Source organism: Homo sapiens, chromosome 8, assembly GCF_000001405.40.
Source record: "Homo sapiens chromosome 8, GRCh38.p14 Primary Assembly".
Lineage (NCBI taxonomy): Eukaryota > Metazoa > Chordata > Mammalia > Primates > Hominidae > Homo > Homo sapiens.
The window spans coordinates 38,318,879-38,332,455 of NC_000008.11; the positions used below are offsets into that span (position 1 = coordinate 38,318,879).

At 37.3% G+C, this 13,577-nt stretch overlaps 1 protein-coding gene across 2 annotated transcripts in view, besides 1 other annotated feature; it reads right to left on the reverse strand.

Annotated features, from left to right (window-relative positions):
• The window catches only part of NSD3 (nuclear receptor binding SET domain protein 3), a 112,568-nt gene that overhangs the window by 49,175 nt on the left and 49,816 nt on the right, over window positions 1-13,577 (reverse strand). For both annotated transcript variants that reach the window (NM_023034.2, NM_017778.3), the window contains exons 5-9: window positions 12,553-12,707; window positions 10,500-11,015; window positions 7,852-7,978; window positions 2,194-2,294; window positions 17-62 (exon numbers count right to left, since the gene is read on the reverse strand). In NM_023034.2, the coding sequence (NP_075447.1) occupies window positions 17-62; window positions 2,194-2,294; window positions 7,852-7,978; window positions 10,500-11,015; window positions 12,553-12,707 (945 nt within the window). The remainder of the gene's footprint in view (window positions 1-16; window positions 63-2,193; window positions 2,295-7,851; window positions 7,979-10,499; window positions 11,016-12,552; window positions 12,708-13,577) is intronic.
• Window positions 12,708-13,577: part of a mitotic recombination region, noted in NCBI's record as "NUP98-NSD3 recombination region recombines with the NUP98 (NSD3) recombination sub-region within the nucleoporin 98kDa recombination region", that runs on past the window's edge. NCBI's record gives the evidence for it as "EXISTENCE:nucleotide sequencing assay evidence [ECO:0000219][PMID:11986249]" and "EXISTENCE:Southern hybridization evidence [ECO:0000078][PMID:19380029]".

Below are 13,577 nucleotides of genomic sequence, written 5' to 3' on the forward strand. Positions count from 1 at the left end.
TATAATATTAACTCACCTTTCTGTAATCCAGTCTTCACTGTAGCCTGAGGAACTGTTTCAACCTGTTTGGACAGAAAAATACAGCATTAACAAAGAATTTTTTTCCCTTTTAATTATTAACAGAGGGAAAAGATACTTTCATCAATCTAAGCAATGATGAGTGATTAATGTATCTGAAATCTGAACTCAGTCCCATCTTTTGGGTAAAGTTCTCTGTCTCAAGATCAGGGAGGGTTTAAATCCTAGCTGCCTGTGCTGAATATCAAGTGACAACACACAGCCACATGCTCTCTAGCAAAGACTTTTCCCACCATTCCCTTGGTATATGAAGAGAACAAGAATACTTTCCTCAGTGTCTGGAAGGCAGGAGAGGGGTTGTTTCTGCAACCGGCCCCAATGTTGCTAAAAACCCCTCCCGCCCCAAAGACGTTAGGATAAATTTTTACTTACTATGATACTCAGGTTAATGTAACTCACGCCACTTTAAGACCCTTCCGCGCCTGCACTCACAGCTAAGTTGCTGGGAATCAGGACCCTCTCTGTAGAGAGTGCTACAGGGCTCCATACAGCTGGAAGCTCAATACTTTTGCTGCTAGTACAAACTTAAGAAAATAAGTTTGTGATATTGCAAAAGCACTTTCTTGAGTGTCTTATGAACAGTGTCTTGATCCTACATTAGGAGAGCGAGATCAGAAGTTATTCTGCCAATGTATATGTAAAACACGTGGTAATTTGAGGATTGAACCATTGGAATTAGAGAAAGGAGGCTGTTTGGAGGAGTTCCTGTTTAAGCTATAAATTGAATTTCATGTTTCTTTAAGATGTGGTGAAATATGAATGTTGAAACACATTTTGTAAATATTTAAGGATTGTTCTAAGCTTTTTAAAAAAAATTTTATTTTTTTTACAACAGGTAAAAAAACATACAACAGAAACGCTTTTATAAGATACAATTAGTAATACAAATATAAAATCTTCTAAACAATCACTGGTATTGTTCTACTACTAACTATAACACAGTGGCATTAACAATTTGTCCCACTTTTTATACTCATTCTGCTTATTAGTTTAAAACTGACTGGTCACAGACTGATTTTGGGAACCAGCTGGCAAAATCACAACTTCATTTTGGTAATGAATAACTATAGATTTTCAAGAGCTTAGAAAGATTTTTTGGAATATAATTTCCTAAGTATGAAATATGAAAGTTAATATGATAAATGAATGACAAATTAGTATACTATTTAAATTTTAGTTAAATATTCTGGAAAAACTGTTTCACTTGCTTGGTGATACCACAGAGCACCCACAAAGTTAGCTTTTAAATTTGGAAGTTTAAAATCATGAAGGAAATATTTTAAATAGAAAAGCTCACATTCTTCCATATAAATGGTTTAAAAAATATAAAACTTATTGGAACTAATTCTATTCAGAATTTGTTTTGTTTGCTAGCAGGTGTTTAGGCTGTAAGAATGGATATTCTTTAACAAAAAAATTAAGAAAAAATCTGATTGTGAGTTTAATTTAAAGAAGAATGGCTTCTAAAATTTTATTTGAAAAGTTGATTTAAATGTATCTTACTACATTGATTACACTGGTTTAATACACTTCAGTCAAAATGCAACCCCCCCACACACCTTTTTTTACCTAAATATTATTTATCTGACAACCTGATATCAGGTGAATATTCCACTGGGAAAATAACATTCCAAAAAATCTGCGATATTAACAGAAAAAACAGATCATCTATGAATATCTGCTTCTTAAATATAAGAATATAAATTAAATTGATTTGTTTAAAAAATAAAAAACAATATATACCAGCAGCTTAAACCAAAAATCAAACTTAAAAAAAAAAAAAGGAACTCAATGATGGTTCCAAATAAAAATCATAAAAACATGAAATCATTCTGCTGATAACAGAAACTTCTAAATAAATGTGAAGGATTTTTTAAGTCTTGCACCACTGGCTTCCCATCTCCTGAAACCTGTTTTCTGTGAAAATGCTTGAAGCAGAATCACAGGGATGGCTGTATTAAAACTGAGCACTGGAACCCACCAGGACAGAAGCGTTAAGATAGTCCAGAAAGGAAACTCAGTGTGGGGGAAAGTTTCTCTTTCTTTTAAGACAGGAATGTAAGCCACAACATTTACAAATACAATGTTTTAACTCTCTACATGTAGGAAGCCAACCTGCTCCTTTTTGATCTTCTTCTTTGGCACAACCTCAGTGGATTTCTCTGATTCAGAACGAGTTCTAATTGATCTTCTCTGTTGCTTCTTTTCTACTGAGCCTAAGAAATGATTTAAACACACAAACAAAAACTCACTTAAGGATACCTTGACATCTATGTAATTAAGATATGACCACATTCCTTGCTTTTCTTACCCATTACTTTTGGAATTTTAATTAAAATCATTAAAAAATGCTAAACATTCAGGAGCATATAAATTATTTAACAGATCAAATTGTAAAGGCTGATAAGCTGAGACTGGGATTCACAAAGGGTCCTAAATTATACAAATAAAGGGGGATTGGTTTTTTAAAAATTGAAAAGTCAAACTAAAACAGCAGACACATTAGTTTTAAAGGCACATAAACATCTTTAGGTAAATATAATTAGGGAATGAAGGGACTGAAGGATGCATAAAAATAAACTTTATTATCCACCTGATGTTAGAAATTATTGGTTCAAAATTCAATCAGTGCCACACATTCTGCATTTTAACAAATGAGTTTAATTAATTCTATACATAAAATGGTTAACAGTGCTTGTTGCACTTATGTAAGTTTTGCTGTTGTTATTAATAACAAAAGCAGGAAAAGCAGGGAAGGCAAAAAATGTGACCAAAACCTAATCATTAATTTGACTATCAAGGGATCTGTTATACTCTGGAAATAATTAGTCGTGGAAAACTAGTTGAAACAAATTATCAAGCTTTTTCATGTTAAATGGTAAAACAAACTATTAAGATTTTTAAAGAGTACAATTCTTTAAAAGCGAATTGAAGAAAACTCACATGGACCCCATTTTTGGAAAGGATAAAACTGAAATTGAAGAACACAACTTGAAAGAACATTGTCAGGAATGATTTCATTCTGTGAGCCTGAGGAGGAATGATACCTGCAGTGCAGCTGTTCTCCATGTTTTCAGTGCCTGGACCACCTACGTATTCCTTCCTAAATCATAATCACCTCTGGCTTGCCATAGGAAGAAGCCACTAAGACCTATAAAATCAGATAGAAGCTCTATCTATAAAGCCTTTCATATAACCTTTATATTTTCTGGTTTCATTGCTCTTGGCTATGTATAAATGACTTCCCTCACTTTAGTTCAAAGCCAAAATGAAGGATCCCACTACTTTGTTTTGTTTTTGGGAAGGAGCGGGTAGTTTGATAACAATATATTGTTTTAGAGCTGTGGTTAATCGATTTATAGTAATCACAAATAAAGGTATTGGCTCCTTTCTTTACTCTCACTCTTCTCCTTACACTGACGAAAATGTTTACTAAGACAGCAGATATGCTACCCTCCCAGACCAACCTGAGGATCCGAGATCCATACTTTAGTATTAAAGTGTCAATATTCAACTACTACTAGGAAGGGCAAAAATGAAAATGGAATTGCTTAAAAACGAACAAAAAAATATTTACTTGTGTTGAGGGTAATATAATCACACCATGAAGAGCAGATGAGATTTGATTTACTGTCTTATAGAGGATAAAGCAACATGATTTCTTAAAATTATTCTGAAAGTTACCCAAAGAACATATACATTTAAAACCATTGAAGAGTATTATGTTCATGTTCTAAGAAAGAGGAGGTGAGCATTTCTGGGTTTGGAAAATAACTTTGAAATCTAGTGTGAATACAAGTACAGTTCTTCAAACGACAAAAATGTGACAGTGCCAAACATTTTATATATCCCTGAAATTTACTAAGAAAAGGCTCAATAATTTCCTTAAGCAGTTAACATCAGCTGAGATGATGCAATTGGTTTCTGAAGGGTGAACAAGTTTCTATTTTGACTTTTCAACTACTGAAGTTATTTTCACAAAAAGCAAAATGGTCACTTAAAAAGACAAGGTATGCTTATCAACCACAGCTGTTAACCAAACTTCAAACAAGCTCAAAGCTTTAGAGCACCAGTCCCTAAATTAAGTTTTTTTTCTTTTCTTTTCTTTTCTTTTTTGAGACGGAGTCTCTCCCTGTCACCCAGGCTGGAGTGCAATGGCGCGATCTTGGCTCACTGCAACCTCCGCCTCCAGGGTTCAAGCGATTCTCCTGCCTCAGCCTCCTGAGTAGCTGGGATTACAGGCGTGCGCCACCATGCCCAGCTAATTTTTTTTTTGTACCTTTGTAGAGACAGGGTTTCACCATGTTGGCCAGGTGATCTCAAACTCCTGACCTTGTGATCCGCCTGCCTCAGCCTCCCAAACTGCTGGGATTACAGGTGTGAGCCACCATACCTGGCCCTAAATTAAGTTTTCAATCTTAATTTACAACCTAAATTCTACGTTCCTGCTTAAGCAAAAAACAACACTGCCTTTTTCCAGATATAAAGAAGTATAACCTTCCACTTAAGAAAAAAAGGAAATATTCATAGCAGAGATTAAATCTTACAATGAAAATACTATATAAAAAGAAAATGTTCAGGCTGGGCACAGCGACTCATGTCTGTAATCCCAACACTTCAAGAGGGCAAGACAGGAGGATCGTTTGAGCCCAGGAGTTCGAGACCAGCCTGGGGAACAAGGTGAGACACTCATCTCTACAAAAAATAAAAATAAAATAAATTAGCCAAGCATGGTGGCAGGCACTGGGTAGTCTCAGCTACTCCAGGAGGCTGAGGTAGGAGGATCTCTGGAGTCCAGGAGTTTAAGGTTACAGTGAACTAAGATCACACCACTGCACTTCAACTTGGGTGCAAGACCCTGTCTCAAAAAAAAAAAAAAAAAAAAAAATTCAGTAACTTTCAGAGGAGAAAGAAAAACAAGCTCCATCCAAAATAAAAGCATAATATTTGAGTTAAGATCAGTCTAATATAGGAAGAATTTACTTTCTCCTTAGGAAACTGCTGATTTCAAATAAAGATCCTCCTAGGTATCCCATTTAAATTCAGACAAATTACTAATCATTTAGTGTAAAGAGGTAACAAAACTGACATACCTAATTTGGAAAGTGGAGGCCAAAAGATTCTTTTAATATTCAAAGAAGGGAACATTCTCAATTATGGCTAATATGAAATCTTCTAAGTCCATCTACTCATTCCTTTGACATTGTAAGTTCATCTTTTTATAAAGTATTTTGAAATGATACAAGTTGCAAATGTAGTACTGGACTTTGCTATTCACTCCCTCCTTTCTTTAACTCAACTTTCCTTCCCAATTCCATATTGAAAAAGGCTGTTTAAAATGCCCCATCCAACATGTGCTGCATCTCCACTGGCATTACCTCTCCCTGTCCTGCAGCTCCCATTATTTTCTTTTTAAGAAAGCTAGCCCAAGTACTTTTGTGAACAGTGATTTTTTTTTACTTTGCTATTATAATAATTAGAATCTTATTTAAATTTCCCTTACAAAAATATTTACACTTTATGCCACTCAGTCACAGGTTTGCCTGAGTTACTACTGATTCAAGATTACCACTTCAGGTCTTAAGACTTTGATCCATCCAGAAAATTACTTGGTCACTGTGATATTGTGATATGATAAGAAACATATATTTGATCTCTGCCCCTGGTTCCTGGCACAGAGCTCCTACTTGGAATTTCCTGCATAATATAAGTGTTTTTTGCTCTAAAGAGGCAACTCTTGGTGGGTTCCTAGTTGGGGGCTAGTCACTAGAAAAACCAAGCTATGATTAGATGCTTTAAGCTCCACCCCCCCATCCTCCGAGAAGGGGAGTGGGGCTGAAGACTGAGTTAATAATTGATCATGCCTACATGATAAAGCCTCCATAAAAATCCCTGAGCTACAGGGTTTGGAGAAATTCCAGGTTGCTGAACACACGAAGGTGCCTGTAGGGTGGCATGGCCAGAGAGGGCATGGAAGCTCTACAGCCCTTTCCATATACCTTGCCCTGTGCATCTCTTCCATCTGGCTGTTCATCTGTATCTTTTGCCATATGCTTTATCATGAACCAGTAAATGTAAAGAAAGGGCTTGTCTGAGTTCTGTGAGCTGCTCTAGCAAATGACTAAACCCAAGGAGGGGGTCACGAGAACCTCCAATTTATAGCTGGTCAGTCAGAAGCTCTGAAGCCCCAGACTTGCAACTGACATCTGAAGTGGGGGCAGTCTCATAGGATTGAGCGCTTAACCTGAGGGATTGGACTCTAACACCAGGGAGATAGTGTGAGAATCAAATTGAATCATAGGACACCCAGCTGGTCAGTGTGGGAAAACAAAGAAACCCATATATGGGTCTATAAGTACGTTCAGAAAATAGTTTAACTTTTTTTTCTACTATAGTCGCTTCTTAGATTCAAAACAAATTTTTAAAGAACAAAATGAAACAAACTCCTTTCTTCTAAACTAAGATTCCAAATGAACACGCTAGTTAATACTTAACTCTTTTCTTGATGGCTATATGAAGCAAGCAGTATTACAGAAATACTACTAATATAATACTGTTACATAAACCAAACCCACCAGACATTCAATTGAAACTCTAAAATCCTTAGTAAGTTAGTCTCAAAAAAATTATGTTGGCTGGGTGCAATGGCTCACGCCTATAATCCCAGCACACTGGGAGGCCGAGGCAGGTAGATCGCTTGAATCCAGGGGTTCGAGACCAGCCTGGGCAACATGGCAAAAAGTACAAAAACTTAGCCAGGTATCATGGTGCATGCCTGTGGTCCCAGCTACCTAGGAGGCTGAGGTGAGAGGATCACCTGAGCCTGGGAGGTCGAGGCTGCAGTGAGCCATGATCGTACCATTGTACTCCACTCTGCATGACAGAGTGAGACCCCGTCTCAAAAAAAAAAAGGCCAGACGTGGTGGTTCATGCCTGTAATTCCAGCACTTTGGGAGGCCGAGGCAGGTAGATCACAAGGTCAGGAGTTGGAGACTAGCCTGGCCAACATGGTGAAACTTTGTCTCTACTAAAAATACAAAAAGTAGCTGGGTGTGTTGGCATGCCCCTGTAATCCCAGCTACTCAGGAGGCTGAGGCAGGAGAATCGCTTGAACCTGGGAGGTGGAGGTTGCAGCGAACCGAGATTGAGCCACTGCACTCCAGCCTGAGTGGCAGAGTGAGACTCTGTCTCAAAAAAAAAAAAAGTTAAACATTCCAAAGGCACAATCTTACTGAATACAGTCACTTCTCCTTTAAGCAAGAATAACATGGCTTGATTTTCAATTCATGGTGTCTGCTAATCAGAAAACAGGTTACATTAGGACAATTAGGCTCTAGGCCCCTCAGCTACTAGTATCTAGCACAACTAGGAATAATGACAAGAGCTTTGGCATCAGCCATTTGTTTCCAACAGGGGTAAAGGAGGAAATGGTATGTGTGTGCTAATAGAGTGGGAAAAGTAAAGCTGTTATTATGCAAAGAGAGATAGTCGATGGTGTATTTACTCAGATACATATAGAGTTTTATAGCTATACACTTTTAATTATAGAACCCTATTATTTTAATTCTTGTACAAAAAATAACTTGCTATGAATAAAGTTCTCTAGCCCCTAACCCACTTTCCTATTAAAGTAACTGCTTTTATATTTTGATTTTTAAATATAATTTACTTTTGATAACTAAGAGTTTCTTAGAAACACAGCTACCACATTATAGCAGAACAGAACAAGGATTTCTCAAAATGGACCTATATATACTTTTCATTCATACCAACCTGTAGAACCAGATGTTGCTTCAGGAGATGATACACTCTGCGTTGGCTTTTCATTTCTCTGGTTTGGTGTAGAAATTATAAGCCTGTCTTGCCCCCTGACACTTATTTCTGTTTTGTTACCAATTCCCTTTAAAATAAGGCAAAAGAAAAAACAACAAAACAGGTGATTACCAGGCAAGTGGCATCATGGGCTTATAAAGATGGCTTAAAATGATCATAATTTGCTTAAATTTTATATGGTCTTTGATTGCAATTAAGTTATCTTAGCCTTTATCAGAAATTTGATTAAGTGATCAAGATACTTTTTTTAAAAATTAAAAACAATTTTTTTTTTTTTTGAGAAGAAGTCTCCCTCTGTCGCCCAGGCTGGAGTGCATGGTGTGATCTTGGCTCATTGCAACCTCTACCACCTGGGTTCAAGTGATTCTCCTGCCTCAGCCTCCCCAAGTACCTGGGAATACAGATGCGTGCCACCACGCCCTGCTAATTTTTTTTTTTGTATTTTTAGTAGAGATGAGGTTTCACCATGTTGGCCAGGCTGGTCTCGAACTCTTGACCTCAGGTGATCTGCTCACCTTGGCCTCCCAAAGTGCTGGGATTACAGGCGTTAGCCACCGCACCCGGCCAAAAAAAATTTTTTTTTAAGATGGAATCTGGCTCTGTCACCTGGGCTGCAGTGCAGTGGTGTGATCTTGGCTCACTGCAACCTCTGCCTCGTCCCAGGTTCAAGTAATTCTGCCTCAGCCTCCCGAGTAGCTGGGACTACAGGCATGTGCTACCATGCCCAGCTAATTCCAAGATACATTTTAAAATGCACAGTAAGATCACGTGAGGTAGAGTATTTGTCTAAGTCTAGGTGATAAATGTCACTAAAAAATATACCTGTATCACTCAATTTTCTATAAAAACAAAATATTTTCTGGTCTTTATACATATCACAGTAAGAGAACTCTAGTCATTTGCATTTGGTAAAGTGCTCTATTACACAGAAAAAAATGCCAATATGTCTTAAGAGACAAGAATACCCCTAGATACAGAAATATGTCACTCATGGTGACCAAAATGTGACCCAATAAGTAATCCGAAGCAGAAAGAAGGCAGGTATAATTAACTTAGGTCTCCTTTTAGGTATTTTTAATGCAATGGAATAGAAGTAAAGAAGTGATTTATAAACATATATGTATTTTTTTGGCCAGGCACCGTGGCTCCTGCCTGTAATCTCAACACTTTGGGAGACTGAGGCAGGAGAACAGCTAGAGGCCAGGAGTTCAAGACCAGCCTGGGCACCATAGTGAGACCCTGTCTCTACAAAAAATTTTTAAAAGGTCTGGCACAGTGGCTCATGACTGTAATCTCAGTGCTTTGGAAGGCCAAGGCAGAAGATCCCTTGGGGCTGCAGTGAGCTATTATTGACCACTGCACTCCAGCCTGGGCCACAGAGTGAGACCTCATCTCTTAAAAAGGAAAAAAATAAATATAAATATATACATGCATATATTTTTAGAGTCTTCATTTTGAAAAGATCAGTTTTATCTTGAATTTCCTTTAAATAGCATTCTTTGGGGTGGTAGTGACAAAGTTTGACTTGTGCATCAGAAGCAGTAAAACTAGCTCCAAGAATAAAGCCAATTTGTACTCAAAAAAGATGCAACATACTCATTTGCTATTTGAAAGATGAAAAATATTCATTTGCTATCAAGAGAACCAAGTGGGGACTGCAATTCAAGTTTTTGCAGGTAGCTTGGCCTTAACTGAAGTCAGCTGAACCTATGGGCAGACCAGGTTAAAAGAGCACCCTTGACATTTCTCTAGGAAGATGTATTACTAATTAAGCATTCCCCTGTTTAACTAATTAATCTGCATATGACTATATTAGGAAAAAATAAGCATAGAATTCTTTAATACACATGAATGAAATGCAACTAAATCAGAATCACAAACTCAACACAGTGGGATGGGATGGGATGGTAGTGAAGAGGTACACGGAATAAATACCTACCAATATTATGGAAGAGTTTTAAAGTCTTCAAGCTAAAGTATAAGTGCCCTAAATGGAGGCCCAGGACAAACTGATGAAGGCACACAGTTTGTAGAGGCTGTTTTTACCCCATTACCCAAGTTATTGCCACAGCTAATTGTTACAGAACAAACACAGTTCTGGGATTCTCTGAAAGGCAGTTAGATATCGCAAGCCCATAAGAATCTAACAAAATTGCTGGTGGAACCAAACAGGTCAGCAGGTACAATTATTACAGTGGTTTTTATAACAATGGTTAATTCATATAATTGACAAAAATGATTTTAATAAGAAGTACACTTTGCAACTAAGAAAAGCTAACTACGCAAACTAGAAACAGGCAAAGTGCCCAGTTTTTTTCCATGACTTTAGGGAGCTAAGCTCAATTTTGGCTGCACAGCTCAAGACTAATCTACTACAGATGGGAAAATCACAAAAGAAGGGGATAAAAAAGAAGAAAAACATAGCCTTTTTGCCTGTCTTTTTTGCCCACAGAGTACAATGACTGTATGTTTCAAATTCAGTGGGTAGAAAGGGTATTTAAATTATGCCAAGGTCATTGTTTTAAATGCCAAGGTTGACCACTTTTAAAATACCATCCCCCAAAAAACTCCACGAAAAAAGGAGGTACCTTTGTTGAATAAACAAATTGATCGATAAATTTCCCATCCCCTGTAGCATTCTGAAGAGCAAACACTTGTTCAATTTTCACAACTGGAGACATGTTACACTTCTGCAAATCCAGGCTCCCTTTGTGCATCGTAATGGAAGCTGGTAAGGATTTCCTTGCTGCCGCAGTTTTCCAGGCTATTTTAACAGGCGGTGGCTCTTCCTCTTCCGCACTTGTGTGCCGCCTCTGGCTATGTCTCCGAATTTCAGTACTTGAGAGTGAGGAGGCCACCTCCCCTGCATTGGTCTGTTCTGGCTGAGTATTCAGCACAGATCTTGGTCGTCGGGTTTTTTTAACTTCGGTTTTGGAGGCAACACTCTTTTTTGCTTGGGATAAAGCCTCTTCAGGCTGTTTATCAATGTAAATAAAAGTATACTGTTCTATTCTTTCTTCTCGAGTCATTTTCAATGCTTTCTCTGCATGGGCAATGCCAATATCCCACTGAGCACGTTCTCTCTGAGGTCGGGGTTTCCGAATCTTTAAAAAAGATAGAGATTATCAGACATGCTTTACTCTAATAGGTACATTAAAATTGATATGTATTTCCCATGTGATCCTGTTATCTTTTCAGGTCTACATAAATATCTTCAGGTTCTTTGGTCAAACAAGTGGAATGTTCTATCTCCATAATTCTGATAAAAAGATATTCGATAACATGAGGATCTACTCTCTTTTATATCCTTCCTTTGCTGATCACTCTGCTGGACAAGGTCCCCAAGAGGGAGACATCCTTCTCCTCTCATATACATAAAAAGCTAGTGATAATGAGGGAAAAGAGAACAATGATTACAGAAATGGTTATTTTCAGTGGCTAATAAAACACTAACATTAAAAATGATACCCTGAAACTCCCAATTCTCTCCCATATCTCGGGCAGAGGGCAAGTCAGGGGTGCTACAGAGATCACAACAAAGCTACTGGCAGAGTTTGAACCACAATGCATGCAGGGACAGAATGAAGTGAAAGGACAGAGCCTCAAGGAACAAATGAAAATTAACAAGACAAAGGAGAACAGGCATGGATGAGAAAAAAGGTAGACCTGAATTATAGTTTCCATAGGTCTCTAGGTCCAGAGTCAATCAGAAGACTTTGGATTGGCAAGAGGGGTAAAAATACTTTGAATAAAGATGTGTGAGATGGCCAGAGCAATTAGGAATTATCCAGGTGGCTAGACTGATGTAGCCAGAAATTAGTTAATAAAACTATGAGATAGCATATGTCAAATATTCATATATAAATCTGTAAAATGTAAGTCTCATAAAATTAATCAAAATTCTGTGATAAAATTTAGTTTTTCAAGTGTAAAAAATGACAAATTTCTGAATCATAAGAGACCCACACTAATTTAGTTGAGTTTAAACTCTTAACCAGATTACCAAGAGTTCATGTCAAAATTCTAAAATATCCACCACCACATCAAATATATTTCCTGATTCCATCACTTGTGTGATCTCGGTTGAACCAGTTACATAAGCTTTCTGTGCCTCAATTTCTTCATCTGTAAAAAGGGGAATAATAGTATCTACCTCATACAGGTTGTTATGAATAATAAGTGAGTTAATATATGTAAAATGCTTAAAAGCATACCTGTTTCACAATAGGCACTCATTAAATATTTTTAAAAGTTTACTTTCATAAAACAATTTTGTTAAACAAGAATGAAAAGAAATTATGGAAACATGCTGAAATAGAAAAAAGAGTAAAAATCCCTGGCAAAAATCCACATTTCACTAGCATCTGGTACACTTATGCACATTAATGAAACTCACAATAGAATTCAATATTAAGCAGGTAGCTAAAGTTTTTAATAGTACTATACGTCGTTTATATGACATATAAAACTCATTGGTGTACTTACAAACTTACTAGTCATTTACCATTACGATTAAAACAGCTGAAAGGGGTTTAAAAAAAGGATTCTAATAATTATCTGAATTCAAGTATGAAAAATTCTTCTAAATTATTAAGTTCTTTAAAAACCATACTAGGTAAATAATATTAACATGTTAGTTACCTTTTGTTTCTCAGAGTGATTGCTGGCTTGTTTGGTTGCCTCAGCCAGTAATTCTTCATACTGTTTATGACCTTTATACTCTCGTACCCGTTTTTCATGAACCCACGCCCTCTCTGGCTGGTTGCTAAAAAACTGGACATGATATTCTCGGGCACCTGTAAGTAAAAATTCTTATTAACCATTTCAGAACATAAGCATTCACATCTACTTTGCCAAAAATGGGAATCTAACCCAGGTTCCTCAGTATTACTCCCACTAAAACTTGTATGTTTGGATTGTCCAAAGATATGTTCCAATACCCACCAGTTATAGAACTAATAGCTACTGTAAAAATCACCACAAATAATTGATTGCACCACTGCACTCCAGCCTGGGTGACAGAGCAAGACTCTTGTCTCAAAACAAAACAAAACAAAACAAAACAAAATAACATTCTTCTCATTAACTTTTTAACAAAATAGTCATTTTTCATAAAAATATAATTAATGATAGCATGTAAGGAGTTCTTGTTGTTAGAGACATGGTCTCACTCTATGGCCCAGGCCGGACTGCAGTGGCATGATCCTAGCTCACTGCAGCCTCAAACTCCTGGGCTCAGGCAATCCTGTGCCTTAGCCTCTTGAGCAGGTAAGACTACAGACATATGCCACATGCTCAGTTAATTAATAAATTTTTTTGTTGCTTTTTTTTGTAGAGATGGGAGTCTTACTATGTTGCTCAGGCTGGTCTCAAACGCTTGGCCTGAAGTGATCCTCCTGCCTCAGCCTCCCAAAGTGCTGAGATTACAGGCATGAGCCACTGGCCCCAGCCTATGATAGGTTCTTATTTTTAAATAAATCAATAAATATTTTGAAATTTTCTCAGCTTTAATTTCTTTTTTTCTTTAAACTGAGATGGGGTCTTGCTATGTTGCCCAGGCTGGTCTTGAACTCCTGGGCTCAAGCAATCCTCTTGCCTCAGCCTCCCAAAGTGTTAGAATTACAGGTGTGAGCCACTGCGCCTGCATCTCAGCTTTAATTTCTAAA